The 27,926-nt window shown below is 51.3% G+C and overlaps 1 protein-coding gene, 1 long non-coding RNA gene and 1 other non-coding gene across 4 annotated transcripts, besides 8 other annotated features; 1 reads left to right on the forward strand and 2 right to left on the reverse strand.

Annotated features, from left to right (window-relative positions):
- Nucleotides 1–972: 972 nt before the first annotated feature.
- On the reverse strand, nucleotides 973–27,775 carry CTDSP2 (CTD small phosphatase 2). 2 transcript variants are annotated; one of them, NM_005730.4, is made up of 8 exons: nucleotides 27,418–27,775; nucleotides 10,494–10,642; nucleotides 8,598–8,636; nucleotides 8,042–8,143; nucleotides 7,392–7,448; nucleotides 5,273–5,365; nucleotides 4,950–5,135; nucleotides 973–4,773 (listed from the first exon to the last, which is right to left on the reverse strand). In NM_005730.4, exons 1-8 carry the CDS (start codon nucleotides 27,479–27,481, stop codon nucleotides 4,648–4,650), a joined length of 816 nt encoding a protein of 271 aa, NP_005721.3. In that variant the 5' UTR covers nucleotides 27,482–27,775; the 3' UTR covers nucleotides 973–4,647. The 2 variants fall into 2 exon arrangements, with proteins under 2 accessions (NP_005721.3, XP_005268613.1); XM_005268556.3 differs by having other exon boundaries at nucleotides 8,580–8,636.
- Nucleotides 5,655–5,738, reverse strand: MIR26A2 (microRNA 26a-2). Its single transcript, NR_029847.1, has one exon. It is a non-coding gene; the product is annotated as a microRNA 26a-2 (primary transcript).
- Nucleotides 15,747–15,806: an enhancer, noted in NCBI's record as "active region_6560". NCBI's record gives its function as "activates an Ori minimal core promoter by ATAC-STARR-seq in GM12878 lymphoblastoid cells {active_cell/tissue: GM12878}" and the evidence as "EXISTENCE:reporter gene assay evidence [ECO:0000049][PMID:35858748]".
- CTDSP2-AS1 (CTDSP2 antisense RNA 1) lies at nucleotides 18,137–24,807 on the forward strand. Its single transcript, NR_188077.1, has 2 exons — nucleotides 18,137–18,260; nucleotides 23,305–24,807. It is a non-coding gene; the product is annotated as a CTDSP2 antisense RNA 1 (long non-coding RNA).
- Nucleotides 18,367–18,436: an enhancer, noted in NCBI's record as "active region_6561". NCBI's record gives its function as "activates an Ori minimal core promoter by ATAC-STARR-seq in GM12878 lymphoblastoid cells {active_cell/tissue: GM12878}" and the evidence as "EXISTENCE:reporter gene assay evidence [ECO:0000049][PMID:35858748]".
- Nucleotides 19,026–19,646: an enhancer, noted in NCBI's record as "H3K27ac-H3K4me1 hESC enhancer chr12:58231763-58232383 (GRCh37/hg19 assembly coordinates)". NCBI's record gives its function as "activates a minimal SCP1, AML or CMV promoter by ChIP-STARR-seq in primed H9 embryonic stem cells {active_cell/tissue: H9 hESC(primed)}" and the evidence as "EXISTENCE:reporter gene assay evidence [ECO:0000049][PMID:30033119]".
- Nucleotides 19,227–19,336: an enhancer, noted in NCBI's record as "active region_6562". NCBI's record gives its function as "activates an Ori minimal core promoter by ATAC-STARR-seq in GM12878 lymphoblastoid cells {active_cell/tissue: GM12878}" and the evidence as "EXISTENCE:reporter gene assay evidence [ECO:0000049][PMID:35858748]".
- Nucleotides 19,397–19,476: an enhancer, noted in NCBI's record as "active region_6563". NCBI's record gives its function as "activates an Ori minimal core promoter by ATAC-STARR-seq in GM12878 lymphoblastoid cells {active_cell/tissue: GM12878}" and the evidence as "EXISTENCE:reporter gene assay evidence [ECO:0000049][PMID:35858748]".
- Nucleotides 26,217–26,266: a silencer, noted in NCBI's record as "silent region_4594". NCBI's record gives its function as "represses an Ori minimal core promoter by ATAC-STARR-seq in GM12878 lymphoblastoid cells {active_cell/tissue: GM12878}" and the evidence as "EXISTENCE:reporter gene assay evidence [ECO:0000049][PMID:35858748]".
- Nucleotides 26,597–26,896: a silencer, noted in NCBI's record as "silent region_4595". NCBI's record gives its function as "represses an Ori minimal core promoter by ATAC-STARR-seq in GM12878 lymphoblastoid cells {active_cell/tissue: GM12878}" and the evidence as "EXISTENCE:reporter gene assay evidence [ECO:0000049][PMID:35858748]".
- Nucleotides 27,487–27,916: a silencer, noted in NCBI's record as "silent region_4596". NCBI's record gives its function as "represses an Ori minimal core promoter by ATAC-STARR-seq in GM12878 lymphoblastoid cells {active_cell/tissue: GM12878}" and the evidence as "EXISTENCE:reporter gene assay evidence [ECO:0000049][PMID:35858748]".

A 27,926-nucleotide genomic window follows, 5' to 3' on the forward strand; every position in this document is an offset into this window, starting at 1 on the left:
AAAAAGTGCACACAGCCCATCAATAATGCAGGAAAGAGGTTGGAAGGATATGAAATTTGCCATATTGTAGATATGGATGCATTATGGTGATGACAGGAGGAAGAGGCTGGAGCTGCCCCATGAGTGCCTGTGATGTCTAGGTTGGCAAGAGCCTCCCTAAGAAGCTTCTGGCATTTCTCAAAGGGAGGGGAAGTCTGGGAGAGGAGCCAGAATTTTATTAGGCCACAGTTTTGCTCGTTGGGGTCTCTACTAGTCATACAGTAAACCAATCAATATTTGAGTGCCTGCTGTTTGCCAGGAACCATGCTGGGCTCTCAGCTTCAGGGTTTCCAGTTTGGAAGAATCAGTGAGGGGCAGAGAAGAATCAAGACTCCATTCCCAGGGCTGGGTGTGGTGGTGGCTCACGCCTGTAATCCCAGCACTTTGGGAGGCTGAGGTGGGTGGATCACAATGTGAGGAGTTTGAAAACAGCCTGGCCAAGATGGTGAAACCCCATCTCTACTAAAAATACAAAAATGAGCCGGGCGTGCTGGCAGGCGCCTGTAATCCCAGCTACTCAGGAGACTGAGGCAGGAGAATCGCTTGAACCTGGGAGGTGGAGGTTGCAGTGAGCTGAGATCATGCCACTGCCTCTAGCCTGGGCAACAGAGCAAGACTCCATTTCAAAAAAAAAAAAAAAAATAATAATCCATTCCCTTAGGGCTTCTGGTTCATGCCCAGAAGTCAATAGGACATCAAGCATATACACGTGCTAAGCACCTGACTGCAATGGGGTTGATCACAGCAGAACTTGTGTAACCTTGAGCGGAAGCCCTGTGTGGCATCTGCAGCTGGCCTCCCGGTGGGTGCAACACCCCACTCAGCCCGGGGGTGCAGCTGCTTCATGATGGAAGGGGTTGCGAGAAGAAAGGCGGTGCTTGCCATGGGCCCAGTGAACACTTAAGGGCCAATGAAGGTTGGTGGCAGCTCACATTCCTGGAAAGGTTTTTTAAACCCACTTTTATTAATTAATTGTAAGTAATACAAATATTCCAAAAATATAAACAGACACTTAATGGCGTCCTGCATTTCAAGTTTTTGAATACAACAAATTTATCAAACCATGAATCTGTAAGCAAGGTAGTCAGAATCCCATAGCCCAGTCACAGTGGGAAGCAGATCCCCTACCCTCCAAATGGCATCTTGAAGGGGGAAAGCGGCACGAAATGGAACATGATAAGCAAAAAAGCTCACGAGGCCCAAAGAGGAGGGTCCGCTCCATGGGCAGGCCCTACAACGTTAAAAGAATGGGGCAGCTGGCCCGACCTCTGGCCTCCTCTTCCCTGGCTGAATGTAAATATTTACCAGCATTTAGAAAAAAGGAGAAAAAAGACAGAACTAAACCCGTTTAGGAAAAAGGGACCGAGGGACAGCAGTGGTTAAGTAATCCACTGAGGACCTGAAGGGGAAAATGGACTTACCTTTCTCATATACTTGGCCTGGCTAGGACACTGGGTGCCAGACAGCCTTCTGAGGGGATTTTCTTTCTAAATGAGGCCTCAGGAACAGGTAGGGGCAGCAGAATAGAATAGCATCCATTTCCCAGAGAAAGACTGCCTTTACATTTCCCATGCTTTTAGCACAAAGCAGCGTCTGGGCCACTGTTACCAGAGGTGAGTTTATACATTTACAAAATGCTTAAAATCTTTGGGAAGCAAGAGGAAGCTAAACAGAAGGTCCCATGTTAACTGAAGGCAAATTCACTCAACCTCTCTAGTAAGGGACCCATGGGCCTACAGAGTGTTCCCTCTACAATGTGCAGAGTGGAAACCCTTACCTGACCCTTTTCCAAACTGGTCCTGTGTCCAAAGCTCCCCCTATGAGAGGGACACGAACATCAGGCTTTTGATTTAGAAGCCCAATCAGAGAGACACACTGTGTCCCTGAAGAGGCACCTTAAAAGAACTGAACCTGGCAGGTAGGCAGATTCCTGGCATGGCTTGAATTGGTGCTGACCAGGCATGGTGGCCTATTGCCTCCCAAAGACCAGTCTCAAGTGGGAGGGGCTGATGGTGGGAAGCCCTAGAAGAGAGTCTGGGATGAAGCGGCCTCCTCCCTGTCTTGCCCTCCAAAATTGAGTCTGGCCTGATTCCTTTGAGGAGCAAATTTTACAATCATCCCTCACCCTAACACACGGTGAAACTGGAAACCCGACAGCAAATAATGACTAGGCTGGCTCTGGTCCACAAGAACAGACCCTGGCTAGGTTTGGCCGAGTAGCTTCTCTGGGGCAAGTGGGAATGGCATTGTTGGGGGGGAGTTGCAGGTGGGCAGGCAGGGTTCTGATGGGAGTGAGGCCTAAAAAGCAGGGGCTTCATGCAGATGCAGCAGGGACACTCCCACCAAGCCATCCTGGGCTTTGGTCATGGGTCCCACGCCAAGCACTTGGACAAGTCTGTTAGGAAAGGGGGTGGCACATGCTCTTCCGCCATCTGGAAAAACATGGAGATCCAAGGGAGGGCGGAAAGGGTCCTTGCAACTCAGTCAGCTTAGAGCCTCTTATTGCTTATTTAGTCAGAAAAGCCTGGCTGGGCCTAGACGGCAAAAGATTTGGCCAAGGGCTAACCCTTAGGGTGGGGCTTGGAAGAGAGGCCCCTCCTGCAATATTAGGATAGCAGCCTAGGTCAGGCCTTGGGTCCGAAGCCACAGCTGGCTCTAAGAGTCTGAGCTCCTGCTTTCCTTCAAGAGACAGTATATTTCTGGCTAGCACATGGGGTCCTTCTCCCTTTAGGTACACCGGGACCCCATAGGCACCGGGGAGTGATGCTGGCGGAAATGGCCACATGAGTTCTGGGGACTCTGTTCCACTTTATGATTCCAAAGAGAAAGACAAGGCCTTATAACCTTGGGACAAGAAGGGAAGGTGGCACCACAACGCTAGAGAAAAATGCCAGCCAGCCACCGCTGAGAGCACGAAGCTGCTGCTCTACTACCTGCTTTTCTCAAAACTTGTTAGTTCCTGAGGCTGGATCTAGGGTGTGGCAATGGAAGGGATGATGGGGAAGAGTCCTGAGTGGGTGGTGTCCCTGCACCTAAAGCAATTCACAAATGCTTTGTGATACCTGCCTCCAGGGAACACAGAGATGGGAACAGGAGCGCCCTCCCACCCCAGGAGGAGGGAGGGAGGGAGGAGAGAACCCCACCCACCCCAGGGAGGCCACGATTAAGGCAGTGATGCTGAGGTGGGGCTCCTTTTTGGGAGGCCCCTTGTGCTCCCAATTACAGCAGCACTTCCTCTTATTTTCCACCCTGGGAAAACTTCCATTTCGTGATGACTTTAATTTTAAAGCATTCACTATTAAGAACCTTTGAAAGCAGGAGACACCCAGAGTGCAGGTCTGAGGGGCTCACTCACTCCTGTTACCAGAGGCAGAAAGCATGCGCATTAGGCTGGCAAATGGCAAGAACACTCATTCCCCCTCAGCCCAGGAAGAGCAAGAGTTCTGAGGCCCTTAAGAGGAAAAGCAACAGCCAGGAAGGATGAAGGCTGGAACAGACAGAGCTCGGTACAGGACAGGCCCTGGGGGAAGACACAACAGGAAAAGAGCCCTGCCCAAGAAATGGGAGGGGCTGGGACAGCTTAGTTTTTCCCAGCCTTTGGAACAGAAGTCCTTGCACCAGCACCAGCAGAGAATCCCTGAAAAGCAGACTTATGGAAATGATCCCGAGCTTAGCTGATCCACAAGCCATGGGGACACACGTCCACGCTTTGAGGATTTGTCTTTTCCCTGCAACCCCAGCGCCGCCGACATTCATTACAGGCCCAGGACTGTAACTTTGTCAGAAACAAACCAGGCCCAACACTCTGTGTTTAGAAAGAGAATTTTAAAACACAGTCAAAAGAACGGAAATCAGTTATCTGTCCTCTTCCCGGGCAGGGAGAAAACCTCCTTCCCCACAGGTTTGAGACTATGGCTAGGTGGTGAGGAAGGCAGGCTCAGCACCCCAGCCTTGGGGAGACATAGAAAAGGCCTATCCCAGGCACTCAGCCGGAGGCAAGCATAGCCTTTGGGCCACAAGACCTGATGGCCACTGGATGCTGGTCTGGAAACAAGTTCTCATCTTCCCAGAAATGTGATCTTTTGTCTGCAGCAGCTGGCTGGAGAAGGATTTCAGAAAGGTGTGTGCCTGGAGTACCCAAAGGCATACCCTTCCTTTATCCTTGGCATAGGCCTTACAACACTGAGGAAAGGCCATGGTTTGGCAATGGAGTCTTCAATAGTCTTCATCCCTACACAACTCAGTGGCTCTTAGGGTGACAGGAGAGGAGACAAGCTAACTTGGGAAGAGTCTTGGTCTTTCAGCTTCTCCCCCACTGAAACACTATACACTGGGGCCACAGTTCATGGCAAAACACACACACAAACACACACTCTCTCACAGTCAAACACACATCTCAACAAGTTGGCGGCAGGTAGCTCTGGGTATCATTGGTCTGGCATTCGCCCACTCGGCATCTAAGCTGTCCTAAAGCTCTTTCCAGTTACTTCCCGCTGTTTCCGGGCCGTGTGGTGAGGCACTCCAGCTTCTACTCTGTCACGCTGATCGTAAAGGCACAGTGTGGGAAAGTCCCCTACTGGGATGGCCGTCGCTTGGAAGCAGGGCAGGCTAAGGGGCCCGCAGCTGCCCAAGGCTGGTGTAGACGTCCTCTGCTCCGCTCAGCTCCTCAAAGATTGGGATCAGGTTCAGCAACTCAGTGTCTGCCATGTCATCAAACCAGGACTGCACAGGCACCTGGTGGGGGGAAGATGTGGTGTCAATCTCCCGACTGCTGCTTCCCCCTCCCTCGCCCCAGAGCCCTAGAGGGTGGCTGGGTCTTCCTGGAGGGGTGTACTTCTCTGGTGGAGCCCACAGTTCCAGTCTGCTTCCTCTCCCAATCCCTACCGTGGAGACGCATCAGGAGCACTCACTGCATTCTCGGGGTGGAATATGTAAGAAGCAGGCGAGTTGTCCAGGATGAGGGTCTTTCTCAGGTCCCTCCCCAGGCGGCTGAGGTCCTTGACGTAGCAGCCCTGGTGGAACACGCAAGACTCACGGAATAGGCGGGCCCGGAACACCCCACACCGGTCCAGCAGGTCTGTCACAGGGTCGGCATACTAGGAGGAGAGAAGATGCCTTAGTTTGGATACACTCCTGGTCCTCCTGTATAACCCTAGGGACCAAAAGGGAGCTGCTGGACCACCCCCGTGGCCACCACACCCACTCCTGGTTCTTCCCTCTCACCCCTAGGTACCTTGGCCAGGCTGGCAGTGAAGAGAACACATTCAAAGAGTTCCCCCATGCGTCTCAGGAACTCATCCACATAAGGCCTCTTGAGCACATACACCTGAGGAAGAGCAGAGCAGCCTGTTGGAGGCATCCCTGTGATGAAGGTTTGCAGTACTGGGTACCTTCACCAGTTACACAGCAGCAAGGAGCTCTCAACCCCTGCAGCCCAGCCTCCTGGGCTACCTGGCTGGAAGCCTGCGGCCCCCTGAGACCCCACAGACCCGGAGAACTGGCTGTACCCCTCACCAGGCTTCCAATGGATCAGTGGTCCCAACCTCAACCTGGCTCAGGAAGAAGCGCACACACCATGTCCCAGGAGCCATCTCTGTTTCCGGCGGCGGACCATCAGCTGCCTCCAGAAACAAGTAATCAAGAATAGGCCTCACAGATGGAAACAGCCTATCCTGGATTACTTGAATCCAGCCACAGCCTCTATGGGAGCTTTCTGTCCTTGGCTCCGACAGGACAGTCTGTCCAGGTCATGATTAGGTAATGAATTGCACCAGGGAGAAGTGACTTTTTCCCCTCAATGACCATAGACTAGACAGACACCCTGCCGAGTCTTGCTCTGCACCCGATCTTGTGCTTGCTTCTGCCAGCCACCACTAACACCTTTGTCCACCCTTACGATCTTGCACATTTTGGGAAGTCCTTTGGCCACCTGACCCCCCATCGGTCTGCATTCTATTGCTTCCATGACTCTAGCCTACACAGCTGCTACTAGAACCATTTCCAAAAAGGTCCTTTTTCTTTTCTTTATTTACTTATTTTTTTTAGAGATGGGGTCTTGCTATGTGAGGCCAGGCTGGTTGTGAACTTGTGGGCTCAGGCATTCCTCCTGCCTTGGCCTCCCAGAGTGTTGGGATGACAGGTGTAAGCCACGGCACCTGACTCCCAAAGCTCCTTTACCTGCATTACTCCCGAGCTCAAAGAGAGTCGGCCTGCTGTGACTCTCCCTCCTAGAGTAGGCCTGAACTGGCCACCAACTCACCAGACCACTCAGAGCTCTGCAGGAACCCTCTGTTCTAGGCAGCCACAACTTAACTTCTGTTAGCCTGCCATTCCTTCGACCTCCAACAAGCCCCTTCCTCATCCCAGCTTTCATCAAGTCTGGCATCCTTTCACCCACCTTGGGCAGGTAGTGCTCCCTCATTTTAATCTCATCCTTTTAAAAATTATTCATACCCTTCCTTGTTAGCCAGGAGTTCACAGTGTATATCTGTTTGAAAATATGCCTTCATCTTTTCTACAAGGGTTTAGCACATCCCTATACCCTCAGCTAGACTGTCAAAGGGCTGCTGGACCAAGCCTAGTCCTGACCGGGGCCTGGCGCTGGGCATGGCAGGCCTTCTGGGCAAGCAAGCTGAGTAAATGGTCTTTCACTAGCAGTGTCACATGATCCTTAACCTGGGACTGCCTGGGCTGCAGGCTGGAGCCTGGTCTGTTTAGATTTGAGTGCTCTTTACATTGACAGACACACACTGAGCACTTCCTCAGGCAGAATCCAATGGAGGGCCCCAGGGAAGGCAGTCAGAGAAGGCTTCACAGAGGAGGAGATGTCTGGGCTGGGGAGGAAGAAAGTCACTAGCTATTCACAGTGGGGGTGGCAGGGGGAGCATGGGCAAGAGGGCATTCCGGGCAGAGAAAATGGTTACTACTGATTTCCCTGCCTGTTACAGGCAAAGAGATACCTGGTTAAGGTATCTTAACAGGTATAGATACCTTTCTTAAGGAACAGAGAAATGTAATAAATCATTTAACAGTGCTGGCCACGTGAGGGGATGGTGGTTAACAAACGATAGCTATTATTATTATTAAATAAAATGTAAACTATTCTTTTAAACAGCTTGGTTGCAAAGAGAAAACAAGGGAGACAGCTGGGTGGGATATGGGGCTGAAACTCTTTTTTTAAGGTGAGAAAGCCTTGAGTGAAAGATACCAATAAAAAGGGGAGGCTGGAGTTATAGAAAAGGGATCAACTGACAGAACCCAAGCCCTGAGATGGGTGGAGGACCCCAGTACAGGTGAGGCAGAAGGCAGACCCCCCACCCTCTGGGCTGGGTGTGGTCTGGCTGGCAGCTCACCTGGTGAGTGGTCCCCTCAATCTCTATAGGCACTATGAAGTCAGCATTGTTGATTGGCTGGAAGGCAGAAAAGTTAATGCTGTCAGCATGGTGGCAAAGAAACATGAGGCCCCCACCATACCCCTAGGTGGGTGGGGAGAAACAGGTCTTAAAGACTCCTGGAAGTGCCTCTGGCCACCTCATTAAGGGGTTCTCACCCTAGTTCAAGATGTGATACCCCATTCTGGTTTTCCCTACTCCTTAGCACCTCCACTCTGACAAATTCTACCTGGGCTGAGAGTTTTGGGGCCTGAGTTTCCTGAGGAGACAAGCAGGGGCAAGGGCCAAAGGTGATCCAACCACTCTTTTAGGCCTGCCCTGTACAGAGCCCTCGTGGCTGGCTTTCTGTGCTATGTGGCTCGGGGGCAGATGCAGCCTGTTGGGAGTGACTGGAGATAGCAGCCCTGGTGGAACACACAGGGTTCCTACTCAACATTCTTCAGTGGGGCCTCTAGATACCTGTGACACAGGGTGGCCAAAATGCCAGAGGCCTGGCCTTTTCCCTTCTAATCACTCTTCTTTCCTCACCTTTAGGCTGCCTTACACATCTGTTGCCAGATTCACAAGAAGGCCCAAGATAAAGGTAGGAAGGGTTCCAGACATTGAGTTACCTTAAAGGAGCTATGCACAAGGGTTTCATCGAGGTCAATGACCACACAGATCCTTCCTTGATCTTCCTCTGTCACCTCTGGGAGCAGGCAGGTCCCTGGGATCTAAAACCAAGCCAGGTTGCTGAGATCTGCCTACCAAGAAAGCCCAATTGTACCCCTTGGCATAATTATGGGAAGAGCTGGGTTGTTTGTGGAGACACAATCACCAACCCAGGATAGGCACCACTTAAAGGCCAGGAAGAAAGGAGGTGGAGTTGTTTCCTTGGTTTCAGCCTCCCAGTGGGACTATTAAGTGATCTGGACATTGGAGGTGGTGGCCAGGGCAGGTGTGGGATGGACAGCAGCTGTGGGAAGAGGGCATGGAGCACCAGCTGTCCCCTAAAATCTAATGCCTTGCACATAGCAGGCCCTCAACAAGTATGGGGAACAAATGGCTTCCCAGGTCAGGGAGGTGGCTGGCTAGGCACCAAGGACTATGCACATCACCCTGCCCGTGGAGCTGGCAGGGATCACAGGATCCTGGCTTCTGAGTACTTACCAGGCCAGAGTCACGTACCTGGTAGAACTGGTACTGGAGACACTGGAGCAGATCCGACTGAGGAAGAGAAGGAGGTGGTCAGTGCCATCTCACTGCCTTTCCCACCCCATCCAAACCCACTGCTTCTGTCTTAAGCCTGGAGGGCAACTTTCTCCCCCAGACCCAGCCACCTGGAAGCTCCTACCATGTCAAAAGTGACTTTTCCTAGGAGTGGGGCAGGAAAAGGGAAAGGCTAGAGCTTCCTTTCCACATTAGGCCTGATGAAGGATGGAGAAGACAAGTGTCCCTGTTCTCGGCTGCCACTGCCTCTCAACTGGACAAAGTGAGGAACAGGGAACTCAAGTAACTGATTCAGGGACACAGAGTCAGAGGCAGAACCAAAGTCTGAATTCCTCACAGTGGCAAACTCTCGCTAAGTCCTTAAACTCAGGCTTCTCCTTGAGAACATGTTGTTTTCCATGCCCTCCTTAGGGGTTATGTGGGGGAACAAGCCCTATAAAACATCAAGTAAGCCACATTGTAGGTACCCAAAATGTGAGGGGAGGGAGTGCAGAGAGATCAGCAAGCCCCCCACCCCAATTTTTGCTAATACAAATGTTATGACCGCCGGGCGCAGTGGCTCATGCCTGTAATCCCAGCACTTTGGGAGGCCGAGGCGCGCGGATCACCTGAGGTCAGGAGTTCGAGACCAGCCTGATCAACATGGAGAAACTCCGTCTCTACTAAAAATACAAAATTAGCCGGTCGTGGTGGCACATGCCTGTAATCCCAGCTACTCGGGAGACTGAGGCAGGAGAATCGCTTGAACCCGGGAGGCGGAGGTTGCGGTGAGCCAAGATCGCACGCCATTGCACTCCAGCCTGAGCAACAAGAGCGAAACTCCATCTCAAAAAAAAAAAAAAAAAAGTTATGGTTTTAAGTGTTCTTAATGAAAACTTTGAAGAAAAATTAAAATCCTAGCACTTAGATAAACAATGTGGCATTCAGTGTACTGCCTTCAAATCTGTGTCCGCAGACTTTTTCCAGAATGCTATACAATTACACACTCTGCCTTTTTACTTAATGTTGCAACTCAATACTTCTCCATGTTATTGAGAACTCTGTAAAAGCTAATCACTCAGTAATACTGTCATGTTGTATTTTATTTAACCATTTCCCCTACTGCAAAATGCAGTGATTTTTCACTGATGTATGTCTTCAGCCTGGTCTTGAGAAAAAGGAAGGACAACCAGACCTCAGTGTTTCAGAGAAGTACCACTGGCTTTTGGGGCAGAATAATTTTTGTTGGTCGGGGCTGGCCCCACCTGTGAAATACTAGACATATAAAAAATACCCACAAAATCCCAAATGCCTTGCATGAGTATGGGAGAGAACTGCTGACAGGAGTTATTAACAGCATGGTAGAGTTTCAATTCCTTGGTTCCCTGTAACTCAGGTAACTTGGAAGTTAGCTTTGCATAATTGAGAACAACAACACAGGCTTTAGAGCCAGAGAAATCTAAGTTCAAATCCTGACACTACTATTTATTAACCATGAACTCTTCAGGTGCTACATAAACCCTCTACATAAATCCATATCTGCAAAGTGTGAATCCTGTGATCTCCTTACAGGGCTGCTGGCTGGATCACATGAGACAATATATGCAAAGCACCTTGCCTAGTTCCTGGAACCTGGAAGGATCAGGATCACAGGGGCCCTCAGAAACCACAGTGACATGTGAATGGCCCACACCGCAAAAGGGAAGGAACAGAAAGGAAATACACTACTTATGGAAGGATGGAGGAAGGGCCCCCTCTCAGCCAGAAATCTTTGCAACTTCAGGCAAAGCTTCCTTGTCCGGTTGCCATCGTCTGCAGGGATCTCCCATTAACAGTCCCTTCATTGCTGGCATCTTACCACCCCAACCCACCTACCTTAGCAATGGTGTTTGCTTCCTCCTTATACGCAGCGAGCTCAGTGGAGGAACTTGACTGGCCAACATGCTGGGCGCGAAAACAGCAGAAAAGGGCCTTGAAGATGTTACGTCCACGAGGCTTCTTAGGAGAGGACTTGGAGACCAGGCCTAGGGTGGAGAGAATGACAGAGGCTTTAGCTCTAGGGACATCAGTTTCTGTCCACAGATACTACCATGCCCATAGCTCTTCTAGTTTGTAAACTCTACTAGGGCACACAGTATACGGCTGGTGAACAACCACATACAGTTAACAGTCAAACATACATGTTTATTCCAGCCTTTTCTCTTTAAAGCAGGAATGTCAGGAATCCCCACTCTCTGGCTTGGGAGACCTGAGCCACAGAGCATTTGTTTTTCATTCCATCGGGGAAGATGGGGCCAGGCATAGAATCAAGGTGTTCTGCTGCTCCAGCTGCAGCACACTCAAAATTAATTCACGAAGACAAAAATCCTCCCTAACGTCAATTCCCAGGAAGACCATCGGTTCCAGACAACGGAGAAACCTGGTCCCCTTTGAGTTAGTGGAGCTGTAGTTCTGTTTAGCATCAGCTTCCCTAGATACTGGCTTAGTGGAGGCAGAACGGAGCCCAATTTGCCTAAAAACTTCAGGATAGAGGCCAGGTGCAGTGGCTCACGCCTGTAATTCCAGCACTTTGGGAGGCCAAAGCGGGTGGAGCACGAGGTCAGAAGATTGAGACCAATCTGGCTAACACGGTGAAACCCTGTCTCTACTAAAAATACAAAAAATTAGCCAGGTGAGGTGGCGGGTGCTTGTAGTCCCAGCTACTTGGGAGGCTGAGGCAGGAGAATGGCGTGAACCCAGGAGATGGAGCTTGCAGTGAGCCAAGATCGCGCCACTGCACTCCAGCCTGGATGACAGAGTGAGACTCCGTCTCAAAAAAACAACAACAAAAACAAACAAACAAACAAAACCAACAACAACAACAACAACAACAAAAAACCACTTCAGGCTAGAAACAAGAGACTAGGAACTCCAGAGCAGCCCCAGCCCCAAGGAAGAAACTACACTTTTTGTTCACAGCCTTGCCTCCCCTCCTCCACTCCAGCAGCTCTCTTTAAGGCCCCCTCCCCTCAAGGATGGGGAGCCTAATTGGTAAAACACAGATACCATGGATTAGCCCCTTAGAACACACATTCGCAGCCTCAGGTTCTAGGCTGATAGCCTTGCTTCTGGACTGCAGCTGCTTAGTCCTACCTTGATCATTTGGGCGGTGGAAACAAAGTCATTTTATTTTTATTGATTTATTTATTTTTTTGAGATGGAGTTTTGCTCTTGTTGCCCAGGCTGGAGTGCAATGGAGCGATCTCGGCTCACCACAACCTCCACCTCCTGGGTTCAAGCGATTCTCCTGCCTCAGCCTCCTGAGTAGCTGGGGTTACAGCCATGCGCCACCACGCCCAGCTAATTTTGTACTTTCAGTAGAGATGGGGTTTCTCCACGTTGGTCAGGCTGGTCTTGAACTCCTGACCTCAGGTGATCCGCCCATCTCGGCCTTCCAAAGTGCTGGGATTACAGGCGTGAGCCACTGCGCCTGGCCACAAAGTCATTTTAATAGAAGACTTGGCAAGACATCCCCAGAAAGGCCAAGCAGATAAAAAAAAAAAAAAAAAAAAATTATGAGCATTACAGGATCAACTAGAAATGGACTTAAGAATATCTTTTGTGCTGGGTGTGGTGGCTCACGCCTGTAATCCCAGCACTTTGGGAGGCCGAGGCAGGTGGATCACTTGAGGTCAGGAGTTTGAAACCAGCCTGGCCCACATGGTGAAACCCTGTCTCTACTAAAAATACAAAACAGCCGTGCGTGTGGCACGCGCTTGTAATCCCAGCCACTTGGGAGGCTGAGGCAGGAGAACTGCTTGAACCCAGGAGGTGGAAGTCGCAGTGAGCCGAGATCATGCGACTGCACTCCAGCCTGGCCGACACAGCAAGACTCGTCTCAAAAAAAAAAAGATTATCTTTTGCAAGTTCCTTTTGCTATAGATGAAATTTTCTGATGACTGTTGAGCAAGAGTAGAAAGATACAATGGTCACTGTGGCCAGGAGGTGGCACTGCACAACCACTCACAGAATGGTCCTTGGTCCCAGTTCTCTTCTCCAGAGGGTCTTGAGTTTCCTAGAGCCTGAGCAGGAGATGGGCCCAATGATTAAACCCAAGCCATTCCAGTTTAAAGCACAGGGCAAACTACTGTGCAGGAAAATGGATGCCGGAAATGCCTCTGTCTTTGTGGGGAAAAGAAACGAAAGCAGAATGTACCACGAAGAACAAACTGCCCTGTGTTGTTCCTTGGGACAGAGATAAAGGGAGGAGGAAGACAATGTGGTAGGGGCTACCTAGGAGCAACACACCCAGAAAATGTACCAAGGTGGCCCTTGCAGAAGTGGGTAATGGAAGAGCCATTTAACATCCAGTTACTGGGCTGCCAGTACCCCCTGGAGAGGAGCAGGGAAAGATCAAACTATTCCACAGGACCAAGGGTGAGAAAATGGCCTTTACACAGCAGTTGGACAAGTATAGTCAGCATCACTCCTAGGATAAGGGACTCAGCTCTGCCTCAACAGAAAGGCAGAGGACTTCCTGCAGGTGCAGGCTCAGCCTCCCCAGTTGGCTGGTCCAGAGCTTGCGCGCATGCTCTCTCTCTCTCTCCTCCCTGGGTTAGGCCAGATTCCTTAACATTGGTATGGCCATTGGAAACTTTTTAGAAAATGACTGGGGCTTTCCAGCAATTAGCCTGAAAGCCTGGACATCACTTTCAAGCTCCTGGCTCTGGAAGAGGAACCAAAATTTCCAGGGACAGGGATTTTGTCATGAAGTTGTGCTGGGGACATCCCCCAGAGCCCTTTATCAAGGAGAAAAAATTCAGCAGAGCCCAGCACTCAAAGAGTCCAGGATAAGCTGAGCACGGTGGCTCATATAGGAGGACTGCTCAAGCTCAGAAGTTCAAGACCAGCCTGGGCAACATAGCAAGACCTCATCTCAAATTTAAAAAGAAAAGACAGGGCGGTCGTGGTGGCTCACACCTGATATCCCAGCACCTTGGAAGGCCGAGGTGGGCGGATCGCCTGAGGTCAGGAGTTCGAGACCAGCCTGGCCAACATGGTGAAACACCGTCTCTATTAAAAATACAAAAAGTAGCCGGGCGTAGTGGCACACACCTGTAGTCCCAGCTACCTGGGATGCTGAGGCAGGAGAATCACTTGAATCCGGGAGGCATAGGTTGCACTGAGCTGAGATCGGGCCACTGCACTCTAGCCTGGGCAACAGAGCGAGACTCTGGCTAAAAAAAAAAAAAAAAAAAAAAAAAAAAGGAAAAGAAAAAGAAAAAAACAAAAGACAGCAAGACAGAGGTTCCTTGGACTTTCCCTATTTCTATGCTGAAATTGGAGGGAAAGGACAGCTTCCCCACCTTGCCTGCATGGCTCACATTAAATTCTAAGCTCAGGGACTCAGGACAGACGCTGACACAAAGCTCCAAGACCAAAGCTGAACCATCGCTTTCCCTTTGGTTTATGGTTTCTTCATGCAGAACCACAATCAGAGGCTTAACCCGGGCACAGAGTCTTTTTTAAAAGGCCACACAGCCTGGGCTTTTCCTGAAGAGAGGCCGTCAGGAATGCACTCAGCATCTTAGTGACAGACGCTGTGAAGGCTGAGTAATCCTGAGAGGTTGCGGGGGTGAAAGGGGCAGCTGGCTGGGGGCATGGAAAGGCCTGGCTTGCGCCCGCTGCAGGGAGCCCAACAGGCAGAAGCGCCTCAGTCCTAGATGGGGAGGGAGCTTGGACTCTGCAGGGGATGAGGGTCTTCTCAAAAACCCAATGTGGCCGGCAGCCCCTGGGCCTCTGAGACCACAAATGCCTTGACCTTGGGGGCAGGAGCTTGAAGCAGAGTACCTCAGACCCACAACAGCAAGGTCAATACCTCAGGCATCCCTCATTCCCCACTCCCTTGATGGGGCCCTGCTTCCCTCCATCCTTTTCCAGGCTGGCTGTCCTCCTTTCCTTTCTAAATACTACTCCAGAGAATTCATCAGAATGCATCAGCCTCTCCCAGCATGACTGCCTCCCTGCAAGGCCTACAATGGCCCCAACCCAGTGCATTCATCAGCCTCCGTGACCCTCTGCGTACCAGGTGCTCAGTAACTTTGCCTGGTTGAGTGAATGACTCCAGGGGCCTCCAGGGCCTGTCATGTCTACAGAGCTAGGACCTGGGGAAGCCTCCACTAGTTTGCAACAGCCCAGAAGAGTTAGATAGAGAAGCCTCCTTTATGTGAGGAGAGGAAGGTGAGCACTGAGGGAGCTGGGCCCCTAAGGCAAACCACTGAGTCTTTCTAGGCCACCGCCATGTTTACTGAGCATCAAGGATGTGCCAGGTCTGCGTTAGACACTTGACATCATTACCTCATTTAATCCTTACTATTAACACTTTGGTAGGCACTAGTTCCCCACTTTACAGAAGGGAAACTAAAGCACAGAGAGGTTAAGTAACCTGGCTCACGGTCATGCAGGTAGTATGACAGCAGAGCCAGGATTTGAACTCAGATCTGCCTGAACCCAGAGCCCAGGCTCTTAACCATTACCCTGTATAGGGTCTCATACACATTTACTTATGCAACAAATGGGAGGTGTAGGGGCACTCTCAAGGTCTCTTCTGGAAAACTTTTTTTTTTTCTAAGACAAGAGTCTCATTCTGTTGCCCAAGCTGAAGTGCAGTGGTACAATCATGGGTCACTGCAGCCTTGATGTCCCAGGCTCAAGCAATCCTCCTACCTCAGCCTCCCAAGTAGCTAGGACTACAGTCTTCTTGGGAACTTTTGCTCTCTGCCTCTCTAGGATGAGCTGGTAAAGGACCAGTCTGGGGTCTAGCCCCTACCCCTTGCCCCAGGTTTTCTTGGGCAGGATGTCAAAGTTGGAAGGGGTAAAACAGCACAAGGCTCTGGGATTCCACTCCAGGGAATCCACCCCCACCCCTGCCTGCACCTGCTCTGACCAGCAGATACCTCTGGGGGATCAAGATGACAATGGGGCAGAGGAGGAAGGAGGGGTTGGAGCCAGGAGCTTTGGTCCAAGACCTGCATTGTTCCTTGGTTAAGGGTGAGGGAACCACAGAGTTCAGAGAGGGATCTGAAACTTGTGTCAAAGAGCCTTTCAATGGCTCCTTTCAGCCAGCACTCAGCATTGTGTCCTTGACAGCCAGGTGCAGGCCATCCCCTACCCATCTGTGTGTGATGGGGAGGGGCACAGCCTGCCTTTCCAGGAGAGGAACACTGGGCACAAGAGGATTTACAGGCCCACAGCGATTTCCTTCTTTAAAAACAGAACAAAAAAACAGAGGCTGGGCATGGTGGCTCATGCCTGTAATCCCAGCACTTTGGGAGGCCGAGGCGGGCGGATCACCTGAGGTTGGCAGTTTGAAACCAGCCTGACCAACATGGAGAAACCCCGTCTCTACTAAAAATACAAAATTAGCCAGGTATGGTGGCACATGCCTATAATCCCAGCTACTCGGGAGGCTGAGGCAGGAGAATCGCTTGAACCCAGGAGGCAGAGGTTATGGTAAGCTAGAGATCATGCCATTGCACTCCAGCCTGGGCAACAAAAGCAAAATTCCATCTCAAAAAAAAAAAAAAAGGAAAAAGAAAGAAACCCTGTCTCTACTAAAAATACAAAATTAGCCAGGCGTGGTGGTGCATGCCTATAATCCCTGCTACTTGGGAAGCTGAGGCAGGAGAATTGCTTGAACCCAGAAGGCGGAGGCTGCGGTGAGCCAAGATCACACCATTGCACTCCAGCCTGGGCAACAAGAGCGAAAATCCGTCTCAAAAAAAAAAAAGGGATGAGGTCTCACTATGTTGCCCAGGCTGGCCTTGAACTCCTGGGCTCAAGCAATCCTCCTGCCTCATCCTCTCAAAGTGCTAGGATTACAGGCATGAGCCACCATGCCTGGCCCCCGTAGGAAATTCATTGCACATGGTTTCCCCAACCAGGGAGGGCAGGACTCCAGCGGATGCCATGTAGCCCAACTACGAGCTGCTCTCCCTCCTTCATTCCCTGCTACCCTCTGCGGACACCCAGCCCTCCTCTTCTGCCCAGATGCAGATGTGCTTCTGCTTTCTCTGCCCCAAACATTTGGTTTGGGGCTAGATGTCTGAGAGGACTAGCACAGACCCAATGAGGGAAGCAGCTCTGGCTTAAGAAGAAAGTGAGCTGGTGGCTGAAGACAGGGAAACCAGGCCAGCCATCCAGCTCACTGCTGCGAGTCTTCCTACTGAGGCGGGGTGTGAGGAGAAGAGGGGATGTGAGGAGTATGCCCCCACTGAGGATCATCAGGGCTGGGGTCCAGGCTCTGCCAGTTACTGACTCAGCCACACAGCCTTTTGGAGCCTTAGTTTCCTCATCCATAAACTGGGATAACAGCAAGCCCTCACTCAGGACTGAAAGGATAAACGAAGTTAGAGAGTAAGGCACTGTGCTAACTCTAAAGCTAAATGCTGCGCTTGTTTTAATTAATTATCCAAGGGGAGATGACCACTAAATGGCAACATCATGGGCCTCATTCCAGGAGGCCAGCAACAGACCAGGAGCCCTCCCACCATCATCACGTGGATGAAGCCCAAGAAGATGAGGGAAAGGTGCCTGAGAGCTCTGATCATGAGCAGGTTTCAGAAAGTCAAAATAGCCCCTATACCTTCTCCCAAGTCCACAACAAAATTTGTTTTCCAGCTCACAAACTCCCTGACTGGGTATTCTGTGAAAAACAAAAGCAAGTAAGACTGTTTCACTTGAGACAAAAATCGCTGTCTCCCCTGGTATTCATCCCCACTACTCTCAAGAAGTACCAGGTAAGGACACTATTTGCCCCTATGCATGGGCCGGGGTAGGTGGCTCAAGCCTGTAATCCCAGCACTTTGGGAAGCTGGGCCGGTTGGATCACTGCAGCTCAGGAGTTCAAGACCAGCCTGAGCAACATGGCAAAATCCTGTTCTACCAAAAAAAAATTAGCCAGGTGCACCTGCAGTCCCAGCTTGGCAGGCTGAAGTGGGAGAATCACCGGAGCCCAGGAGTTTGAGGCTGCGGTAAGCCGTGATTGCACCACTGCACTCCAGCCTGGGTGACAGAGTGAGATTTTGTCTTTAAAAAAAAAAAGTGTACATGTACAAACACGTGAACACGTGCACACATACACACAAACGAAGACCAGAGTGACCAGGGCAACACTGTTTTTAATCTTCTCCTGAAAGTCAGGTCCAGATACCACTTTTGTCAACAACACAGCTTTGTGTCCCAGCAAAGGAACTCCTCACACATCTGCCTGCGATTCAGCAGAAGGTAACCTCTGAGACAATCAGATTTTAACAAGCCCATTCAGGTAGAAAGTTGCTTTCTTTTTTGGTTCATCCCCAGAAGTACTTCCTTCCCCACCACCTCCCATCCCCCACAGCAAAGGACTTAGCCTTAGCCTGGCTATCACTATAAAATGGCCCCTCTGAGGGGCCTCCTTCCTCTCAGCTATTGGAGGAAGGAGAGTATTTGGAGCATTTCCGGCCCTTCTTGGACGGCTGCCTGAACCCTGCAGCCAAGACACATTTGACTGGGACTCCCCCATGGAGAGAAGTCCTCCCAGGTCCTCTGCAAGGGGCATCTGTTCCTTGGCTATGGACATGCCCTAAAGTGCCAGGTGGACGGAAGAGCTCCTGGGACCAGCAGGTGAGTCGGCAGGGAACAAAAGAGGGTGAGATGCCTAGACAGCCCCCACACACAAAAGACTGCAAACAATGGGGAGGGTGTACTGCTTTCATGCCTGGCCACTGACACTGTTCTCTACAGCTAACAAGCAAGGCAGGGCCGGACCCAGCTTAGCACCGGCTCCCGAAGTTCCAAAAAGTAGCTGTGTATCTAACTGCATGGGCATTTTTTGAAAAAAGCAGTTTTAACACTTTGGGGGGCAAAGGCAGTGGGGATCACTTAAGGTCAGAAGTTCGAGACCAGCATGACCAATATGGTGAAACCCCATCTTTACTAAAAATGCAAAAATTAGCAGGGTATGGTAGTGAGCTCCTGTAATCCCAGCTACTCCGGAGGCTGAGGCACGAGAATCACTTGAATCCAAGAGGTGGAGGTTGCAGTGAGCCGAGATCACACCATTGCACTCCAGCCTGGGGGACAGAGCAAAACTCTGTCTCAAAATAAATAAATAAATAAATAAAATTTAAAAAATTAAAAAGCAGTTTTAGCCATGCTGTTTGGCCCATACCAGCATGTTGTATGCTGGTGCCCTCTCTGCACCAGCAACTGGGGCAGCTCTACCTAAGCCAGTGTCTCCATTAGTTCCCTTTCCCTGGGCAGGAGAGCTCCCTATATGGCTGTCTCTTCTTTCAGACCTGAGTCCTTAATGCCACCTGTGGGGCGAGGGTCACAGGTCACACACTTTCTTGTCTCTGCCCCTTCAGCAATCTGTTCTCTGACCTCAGCTAGAGAGGTAAGAGGACTCAGTTTTGGGAGCAGGGGATTTCTGGCAGTTCTAAAGCACGCTGATTTCAGAATCAGCCTCTAAAGGAGGTATTGCCAAAACACCCTCCTGGGCAGCTCCAACGTACTTTAAAAACGTGCTGGGTTGGGGTGGGCCTCCATAAGTAGCAGATCCTGGACCAGAGACAGAGGAGGCGTTTCCTCATAGACAAGTCAGCTGCAGGCTCAGCCCTGCAAGCCCCACTCCAGAGGACTCTTGAGGGATGTCAGGAAGTGATCTAATAGCCCACAGGGCAGCAGGGACAAGCCTGAGATGCCATCCAAGAAAACTCAAAGGACTGGATCCTGCCCCTGCCTCAGCAGGAGACCCTGCCCTATGTAGCACCAGCCAGAGCAAAGGTATCATTGTGAGGGATTGGAAACCACACTTGCCTACCTGGAGTTACCCCTCCTTCCCCCTAAGGAGGTGTATAACAAGCCCCTGTGGGAGGGGCTACACACAGACAACCTCTCAGTGAGTGTTTCAAGTTCCTGCCTTAGTGCTGTGCCCTTGACTCCTGGAATGCTTAGATATAGTTGAAGCCTAGGAAGAATCCACTGCTTCTTTCCCTTCCAGGTATGTAGGCCTGCTTTAGGTTGATACAAACGTGAGCTGGAGAAAGCAGTGAGGACACAGGACAAAGCAAGGGTATCTGTTCTGACCAGGGAAAAATACAGTGGTGACACAAGGCACCCAGACTTGAGTTCGAATCTAGGCTCTGCCATGTGTAAGGTATGCAGCCATGGGCCTCAGTTTCTTCATCTGCAAAATGGGAAGACTACCTATTTCTCAGTGTCAGAATTGCAGGGAGCTCAGGGAGTGTCCTGGTCCTAACAAAAGCTTTGTAAGTGTCAACTGCTACTCATTAAGTGCAAAGTACTTTCATACTCTTACCTCAGTCTCCATCTCAAAATGTTCACATTAAAGGGACCATAGAGATTTCTTCTAACTCATTTCAGAGGTAGTAACAGGGCCAAACCGGAAATGATGTTTTCCGGGACTCCACAAAAACGAATCAGTCGCACACACACATACACACTCATTGAGGCTGGCCAACCAGTTCCTCCTTCATATGGCTGGCCTCTGCAGAAGGAATGGAAGGAGTCTGCCAGGGAGGCACCCATCTCCAGGGACATTCTGCTGCTCCCCCCACACCCCTCAGCTTCACCTATGACCAGCCAAGCCGTATAGGTGAGTCCACTTGAGAAAGTACTGATCTAGAAGTCAGGAAACCCAGCTCTTGCTCCAGTTCAGCTTTTCAACAGTTCCGTGGCCTTGCTAGGGCACAATTCTCTGGGGTTCAGTTTCCTCATAAGCCAATCTGGAAAGGTTTCCCCTGCATGGTCCCTTAAAAGGTGGCTTCACCTGAAGCATGCACCTGAATCATGAACTCAAAAGCACTCTAAAAGGTGAAATGTTAGGCCGGGCACGGTGGCTCAAGCCTGTAATCCCAGCACTTTGGGAGGCCAAGGCGGGCGGATCATGAGGTCAGGAGATCAAGACCATCCTGGCTAACACAGTGAAACCGCGTCTCTACTAAAAATACAAAAAATTAGCCGGGCGTGGTGGCGGGCGCCTGTAGTCCCAGCTACTCAGGAGGCTGAGCCAGGAGAATGGCATAGACCCAGGAGGTGGAGCTTGCAGTGAGCTGAGATCGAGATCGCGCCACTGCACTCCAGCCTGGGCGACAGAGCAAGACTCCATCTCAAAAAAAAAAGTGAAATGCCAGACAATGCAAATGTCTGGCTGACACTAGCCATGTACCCTTGGGCAAAGTCCTTCCCTCTCCCTGTGAAAGTTTTCCTTATCTGTAAAGTGAGGTTAATTCCTCTTATTGGAAAGGAAAAGTTGTCAGGAGAACTAAGTGAGATACGAGATATAAAATGCTAGGAATAGTACCTTGCCTATGGCAAGTACTCTATAAATATTGGCTGTAACCATTACTGGGTAAACAAGGATGGATCATTACTCTGTCCATTTACTCTGAAAACTTTAGGACTCCCCTTGAAGAGCCACAGATCTTTAACATACAGTAAAACGGGACCACCAAGAGGAATTTTCCTGCTCGGGGCAAAACAGGCAGTTGGGGCCACTGCTGTGCCTACCTGGCTCTTCTCCAGGGGCACCTGTCAGAGCCACAAGGAGCATTTGGAACACATGCATGCCTGACCCACCTGCCCATGCGCTGATTCAGCAGATCCCAGGTGGGGGGTCTGTATTTTTAGCAAGTGTCACAGGAGACTCTGATGTGTGTCCCTGGCTGAGAGCCAGTATCTACCGGTTGCCAGGGTCTCTGACTAACCCAGGGCTAGAAGGCAATTCAGCCAAAGTCCCCTTGGCCCCTCTCCCCACCGTACCTGACTGGCTCAGTGTTTCTGCAAGCCTTAGAGGACTCATGCCTAGGATCCAGTTTTCTTCTCTAGGGGTAGTTCTATGTGACGTGAGTCAGAAAACCTGGGTCTGCTGTCTCTACCTGCAGGCCCCTGTTCCTGTGAAAGAGGGGTCCTAGCTCTATTCTGCTGCGGGAACAGAAAAGCTGGGATCTACTATCCAGGAAGCCTTCCGCAGGCAATTTGAGCCTTTCCATGAGTCTGCTTGGCTCTCACTGGGATTGGGGCCATATTTGTTCCCTGGGAACAATGCAGATGGGAAAGTGCAAATTCAAGAGGATGGAAAAAGCTGTGGCAAGAAATAAAAGAAGGTATAGAATAAAAAGAGAGTAAGAGCAAAGTCTGATTTGGGGGGATGGGGGTGGGGGAAGGACTAGAGCACCTAGGAGGGAAATGGAAATGTCAGATCCACTCAGAGATCAGGTTCAAGGCTAACTCCTAGAATAGCTAACATAAAACAGGGCATACACACTTTTGCCTAGAGGGAGGCTGTGGCGCTCACTGGAGTACCCTGTGATAACAGATCCTGGTGCAGGCATACTCAGACCTGAAGGGCTGGGCATTTTGCCAGACAAAGAAACTCCATTCTATTTGGTCTCTGGTCCAGAGATGCTTCCAGTTTTAAGTCGTCAACTTATCCACTTTAATTTCTAGTACTTTCTTTGTAAGATTTGCGTGTTAATGTGCTCATCTGCATCCCAGTTCAGAACTACTACTCCATTTCAGAAAAGTGAGGGAAATATGTCAGGGCCACACCCAATCCCACGTCCCAAAGACAAGCGAGTTAATTCCATGCTTCCCAGAGCTGGCCAGACTAAGACAAGATGAAAAGCAGATCAATGCTGCTTTTGTACTTTCTCAATGTTGTACCCCAAAACCACAGGAGCAAACAAATAGCTTAAGAACATCTATTTCTCTTCAAACCCCATTTTCTTTTTCCCCCTCTTATTAAAATTACCTAAAAGAAACCTCAATCTCTCTGAATTCATTAACTCTCAAAGCAGACAGTGAGAGAATGTAGCATACAGTTGTCCTGAATATTCGTTATATCCATATTTGAGAACCTCTAAGGAAGTTTAGACTTTAGAGACTCACAGGGGGCACATGCCTGGCCTTCTCCCACCCCCAGATGCCCAGGCACCAGACAGAATGGCCAAAGTCCCACAGCCCAGGCAGATAACAAATCACATCCCAAGTCACATGACACAAAGAAGGGGTCTGTGCAGCAAGGCTGTTTGTAAGCCTAAGAGGTTGATCCTTCCAGAAGGCCCAAGCCCCCACAATCAGTGTCCCCTCTGACCCCCGGCCACCTGTCTTGAAAAATAAAACCCACAAGACTACGTGCTGTTTACACTGTGTCCTTGGGGGAATGGAGGAGGGCGAACAGAGTAGTCTAACTATGTAAAGAGGGAGGACATTAATATTTATCAAGCACCTACTAAGTACCAAGTATAATAGAAGGGTAGATATCATTATTACTACTTTATAGATAAGTTACTCAGAATACTAAAGTGATTTATCAAGTCTCATTGCAAATAGGAAAAGAAGGTATTTGAACCCAGGCCTGAAGCAATTTTGCTTCAGAAACAATGCTTTGAAGTAACAATGTAAACTTTAACCACCATCCCTGACCCTGGTCCCCACTCTGTCCAATCTAAGAACCAAACTTACCATGATGGGAATAAAAGACAATACCCCAAATTACCCAAAAGCTAGCAGAAAAAAAAAATTGTAGGAGGAATTGGAAGGGAAGCTATGTATTGATATGTACACACATACACACAATCCCATATATATTTACATATTGTCTTTCTTTTCCATGCTTATTTACAAACACTTTAATTCTTCACAGGTTGGGAGCATCAATTCACGTTGGCTAGAAATGTGACTTCTTTAGTATTTACCATTTTAACAAAATCCATGATAAGGGATTTGGAAGGTCCCATGGAAAGGATGAAATGACACCTCTCTGCTACCCAGTTTCTTTAAGACCTCTACGGTTGAGAAGAGAGGACAAAGGAACACCCCCACCTCTGCCATCCTCCGAGGGATTTTTCACAGCAATTCCAGTGCTGCTCAGTGGAAAGCTCTGCAAGTCAACTGCAAACCCCCAGCCCCAGATGTTAGGCATTTACAAACTTTGTTGCTGATTTATCAGCGCTCCTCTGCAATTTTGGGGACAGGAGCAAACACAAGCTTAAGTCACCACGCAGGCTGCAACCCTTACCCAAAGATGGGGGAAAAACTCCAAAGGAGATGCAGGAGGGAGCCTCAGCAGTCACTGTGAGAGCACAAAGAGGCCAAGACCCAGGGTAGGCAAAGGAAGGTGAGAGGCACCAGCAGGGCAGGAGGAGGAGCCAGCTATAAACATGCAGGCTTCCCGCCCCCTGCATAGCAAGCTATGGAAGGAAGCTCCAGCAAGATTCATGTCTAAGCTTTTCAAGTTAAAGGCTTGCCTACATCTACAGTGAACGGTGTCTGAACAACTTTTTGAGGGAATAAGGCAGAATTTCTCCCTTATGCGGATAACAAAAGAGCTAGCCATCCTGAAAACTTGCCACATCGTAATTTTCAGAGATGGTCAGTCTCTCAGAAGAATCCTTGCAATTAGCTATCAGAACCTGTCCAGTTCGGCATGTGAGAAGGTAATCCAGGGCATCATCGAGAGGAAGGGGCATCAGGATTCATGGACAACAAAAAAATCTCTGATTCCTCCAAAAGGCGTGTGGGTCACTGAGCTCCGGAAGAGGCTGCCTCCACCAGGTCTCATTTCACGTTGGGAGGTTACAGCGTGGGTCTTGTTTCCTTGGCTTTCCCCCATCTAATCCCAAAGCCAAGGTCACAACCTCTTAGCAATGGGGTGACAATCTCATATAGAGCTGCAATCAACAGCCATTCTTGCCAAGCTGATATTAACATTTCTTTTTTCTTTTTGATGTTACACACAATCCTGTCCTTGCTGTACCAGAAAGCCATTTCACCCATCTGTCTGGGAAGATGATCCAATTTTGGTGCTTTTATCATCAATGCTTTCAGCAACTTTGTTCTACTTCCCCTACTGTAATTACTTTTGAATCATCAACGCACCCAGACAGCCTTAAACCTCAGAGAACAGAATGCTAAAAAAAGAAAAAAAAAACCCGCAATGGCAAGTAACTTCACTAAATAGCCACCCAAGCTAGGAGCAATTTGTTTCTTTCCAGAAATTTACTTATTAATAATAAGTACCTCACACTCCTTCTTCCCCTTTTTCCAAAGGCAGGCAAGGCATGGAGATGGGATGTTGTGGAGAGGACGGAGTGGGGAGAAGAAGGAACTCCAAAAGGAGCCAATTAAAACATCTGCTTCCCCAGTCCCCCAGCTTTTGTTTTTTGTTTTGTTTTGAAGACGTAGGTTTTGTTTGTAAATGATGTGGGACTCAGAAAGTTGGTTTAGTGGTTGCTGGGTGCCTAAGCAGCCCAGGAAGAAAGTCTGTCTTCTCTGGAATGCAATCAAATTACATGGGGAGGGGCCGGGCGCGGTGGCTCACGCCTGTAATCCCAGCACTTTGGGAGGCCGAAGGGGGCTGATCACCTCAGGAGTCGAGACCAGCCTGGGCAACTGGCGAAACCCCTGTCTCTACTAAAAAATACAAAAAAATTAGCCAAGCGTGATGGCGCGCGCCTGTAATCCCAGCTACTTGGGAGGCTGAGGCAGGAGAATTGCTTGAATTTAGGAGGCGGAGGTTGCAGTGAGCTGAGATTGCGCCACTGCACTCTAGCCTGGGCAACAGAGTAAGACTCCATCTCAATTAAAATAAAAAATTACATGGGGAGGGAGAGACCCAGTGGCTGCTGGCTTAAACCACACACACAAAAAAGGAGAAACATTAACTCCAAGAAAATCCAACACCAGCAACTTAACACTGTCAAGCCAGTTGCTTTGCTTTCTGCTGTTATCTATTCTGTAGCCTGCCATTCACCCTGGTGGATGAAACTTCCAGCTCTGATTTCTAAGATGCCCCGGCGCAGTCCAGCTTTCCCTTACTCCTCGCGTGGCCCCACGATGCCCAAGGCACACTCCCTGCAAGAGAGTCCCTGCAAGAGAGGAAGACCTAGTGGGGAAGCACAGGGCTCCTCCCCCTACTCATCACCACTGCCCCCTCTTGAATCCCCCCACATCTAGGTTTCTTCCCCTCTGGCTAGCTCTTAGGGTCTTTTCCTGGGATAAAAAGGGAGTGGGAAGAGTCAGGAGTGAGCTATAAACACACGCAGGCTCCCTTCCTTTTTCAGCCATCAGCACAGTTGAGCAGCCAGCAGAGGCGGTGAAGTTGCTGCCTGGGTCACAGCCTGGTTAGTGATGCAGCCAGGAGAGCAGAAATCATGGCAACACCGAGGTCAGGGAGGCCGGAGCCTTCTCGGGGGTTGGGATCTGAGTAGGCAAGGCCATCCCTTCTCAGGGCAGGCTTATTTAAAGTCCGGCCAGTGATGCAAGAGGAACACACTGCCTCCCTCCCCCCACCCTTCCCCCCTCCCAGCTCCTCTCGTTCCACTGAGGGAATTTGGGAGAGGCTGACACCACCAACTCAGCGGATTTGCCCCTAGGGAAGTTGGGGGAGCTCCTTGGAACGTGAACCCCAGGAATTAGTGACCTGCTGACTAATGTTGCCAAACGGGGAGACGTGGGGCGCACGAGGCCCCGAAGCTGGCCGCCCACCAGGCTCTAGGCCTCAGTGTGTTCAACTGCAGCACCGGCCCTTCGCGCTCGGTGGAGAAGGGGAGGGAGCGCTCCGGCTTCGGCCCCAGGAGCCAGCTCCCGCCCCAGCCTCCGGGGCCAGGTGGCCCCGGTCGGGGGGCTCTCTAGAGAAACGCCACACTCGTCCTTACACCCCGCGGAAAATCTGCCGCTATTTTGGACACATTCCTCAAGGCCAAAAGAAGAACGTGGCGGAGGGGGAAAGAGTTTCGAGTCTCCCACTGTGACCAAACTAAGAGGTTCCACCCTCGGGCCCCAGCTTTCTCCCGCCCCGGGAGAGGCCTCGGCCTCCGCCTCACCCCCGCGAGGGCCTGCGGGCCCCCTCGCGCCTCCACCTGACGCTCTGGAAGGCGGGGGCCGCCAGCCGCTGCCCACAGAGAACTCGCACTTTTTCGCTGCGCGATTCAGAACCACGCCGGGTCTGATGCCATCCGGCGAATTATGTAACCAGGGACACCGCTCCCGGGCTAAACAAACGCGGCTCTGTGTGTGCAGCGCCGGCCCCGGGGGAGCGCACCGGGCAGGGAGGGGCTCTGGCCGGGCCTCAGGGTCGGGCTTGTTTGCTCAGCGAAACTGGTCAGAGGCAGCCGGGAGGGAGCCCGACGCCGCCAAGGTCCCGGGGCCTGCGCTGAGCCGGGAACCCGCCACGTCTGGTGCGCCAGGGCCCGGGCCCCTCCCCCACCGCGACCGCCCCCGCCTCCAAGAGGTGAACTTGGTCCCAAGTCCCGCCGGACGCCGTCACCGCCAGCTAGCTGCCCGAACGACCTCGGGCTTGGGGGGGCCTGCAAGTGCTGGACTCCAGTCTCGGTTCCGTTCCACCTGGGGCTCCCTCTGTCACCTTCCTAACCCCTCCCCGCGATCCCGGGGCAGCCGCGCGCGGCGGTGAAGGAAAGTGACGACCCCACCCCCAACTCCGGAGGCGGTGGACGCGGAGTGGCCCAGTGCTTCGAGAGCTACCCCTCCGTCTCTCAGCCCCGAGGGGGAGGGGTTGCGGGACAGGGTGACAGCTGCGCCGAAGACGCCCTTTCCGCTCGGGCGCCGGGATCCCCGTGCAACCCCCACGGAGGTCTGAGTGCCAGCCGGGATGCGGGGGCGGATGGACCGGAGGGGTCCAGTCGGGATCGCTGGCTCTAAGCCCTGGAGGTCAAGGGCCGAGACCTGGGTTCGGGGCTGTGCTAGCCCCCTCCGCGCCCGGGGGCGACGCAAAGTTTTGGGAAGTTGCTGCCCCTACCTTGCTTGGTGAGCACCAGGGCGTCTTCCCTCCGCGCCTGGGTGATGATGGAGCCGTGTTCCATCTAACAATCCCGCGGGCCCGGGCTGGCTGGGCGGGAGGACGGGCGGGCGCGCGGGCTGGGCTGGGCTGGGGGGCCTGGGCGGGGGCCCGCTCCGGCTCCCGAGACTCCGACTTCCACAGCTGTTCACATCCCCCCTCTCGTTTCCTCCCCGGACCGGGAAGGGAGGCGGCCTGTACAAAGGGCGGGCGGCCCGGGCAGCGGCTCCCCCGGGTGCCCCCGGCCCCGATCCCCCAGCGGCAGCTCCGGGCTCCTCAGTTTGGGTCCAACATGGAGAATCCGGAGCGAAAACAAGAGGAGGAAATGGGACACGGGGCGGTTTCCAGGCTCCCCCCTCCCCTCCGTACTCCAGATAAACAACCCGCGGCTGCAGCGCCCACCCCCGCGCGCCTCCCGGCTCTCGACTCGGCCTCTTCACGGCCAGCTGGAGCTTCCCGCTGGGGGCTGC

Source organism: Homo sapiens, chromosome 12, assembly GCF_000001405.40.
Source record: "Homo sapiens chromosome 12, GRCh38.p14 Primary Assembly".
Classification (NCBI taxonomy): domain Eukaryota; kingdom Metazoa; phylum Chordata; class Mammalia; order Primates; family Hominidae; genus Homo; species Homo sapiens.

Bases quoted from the DNA above. Each gene is read 5' to 3' on its own strand.
- CTDSP2 (XM_005268556.3), bottom strand. From the start codon at position 27,481: ATGGAACACGGCTCCATCATCACCCAGGCGCGGAGGGAAGACGCCCTG. The intron at 10,643-27,417 runs GTAGGGGCAGCA...TCTCCACCCTAG, and splicing joins CCTGGTGCTCACCAAGCAAG to GCCTGGTCTCCAAGTCCTCT. The intron at 8,637-10,493 runs GTAGGTGGGTTG...TCTCTTCCTCAG, and splicing joins AAGCAAACACCATTGCTAAG to TCGGATCTGCTCCAGTGTCT.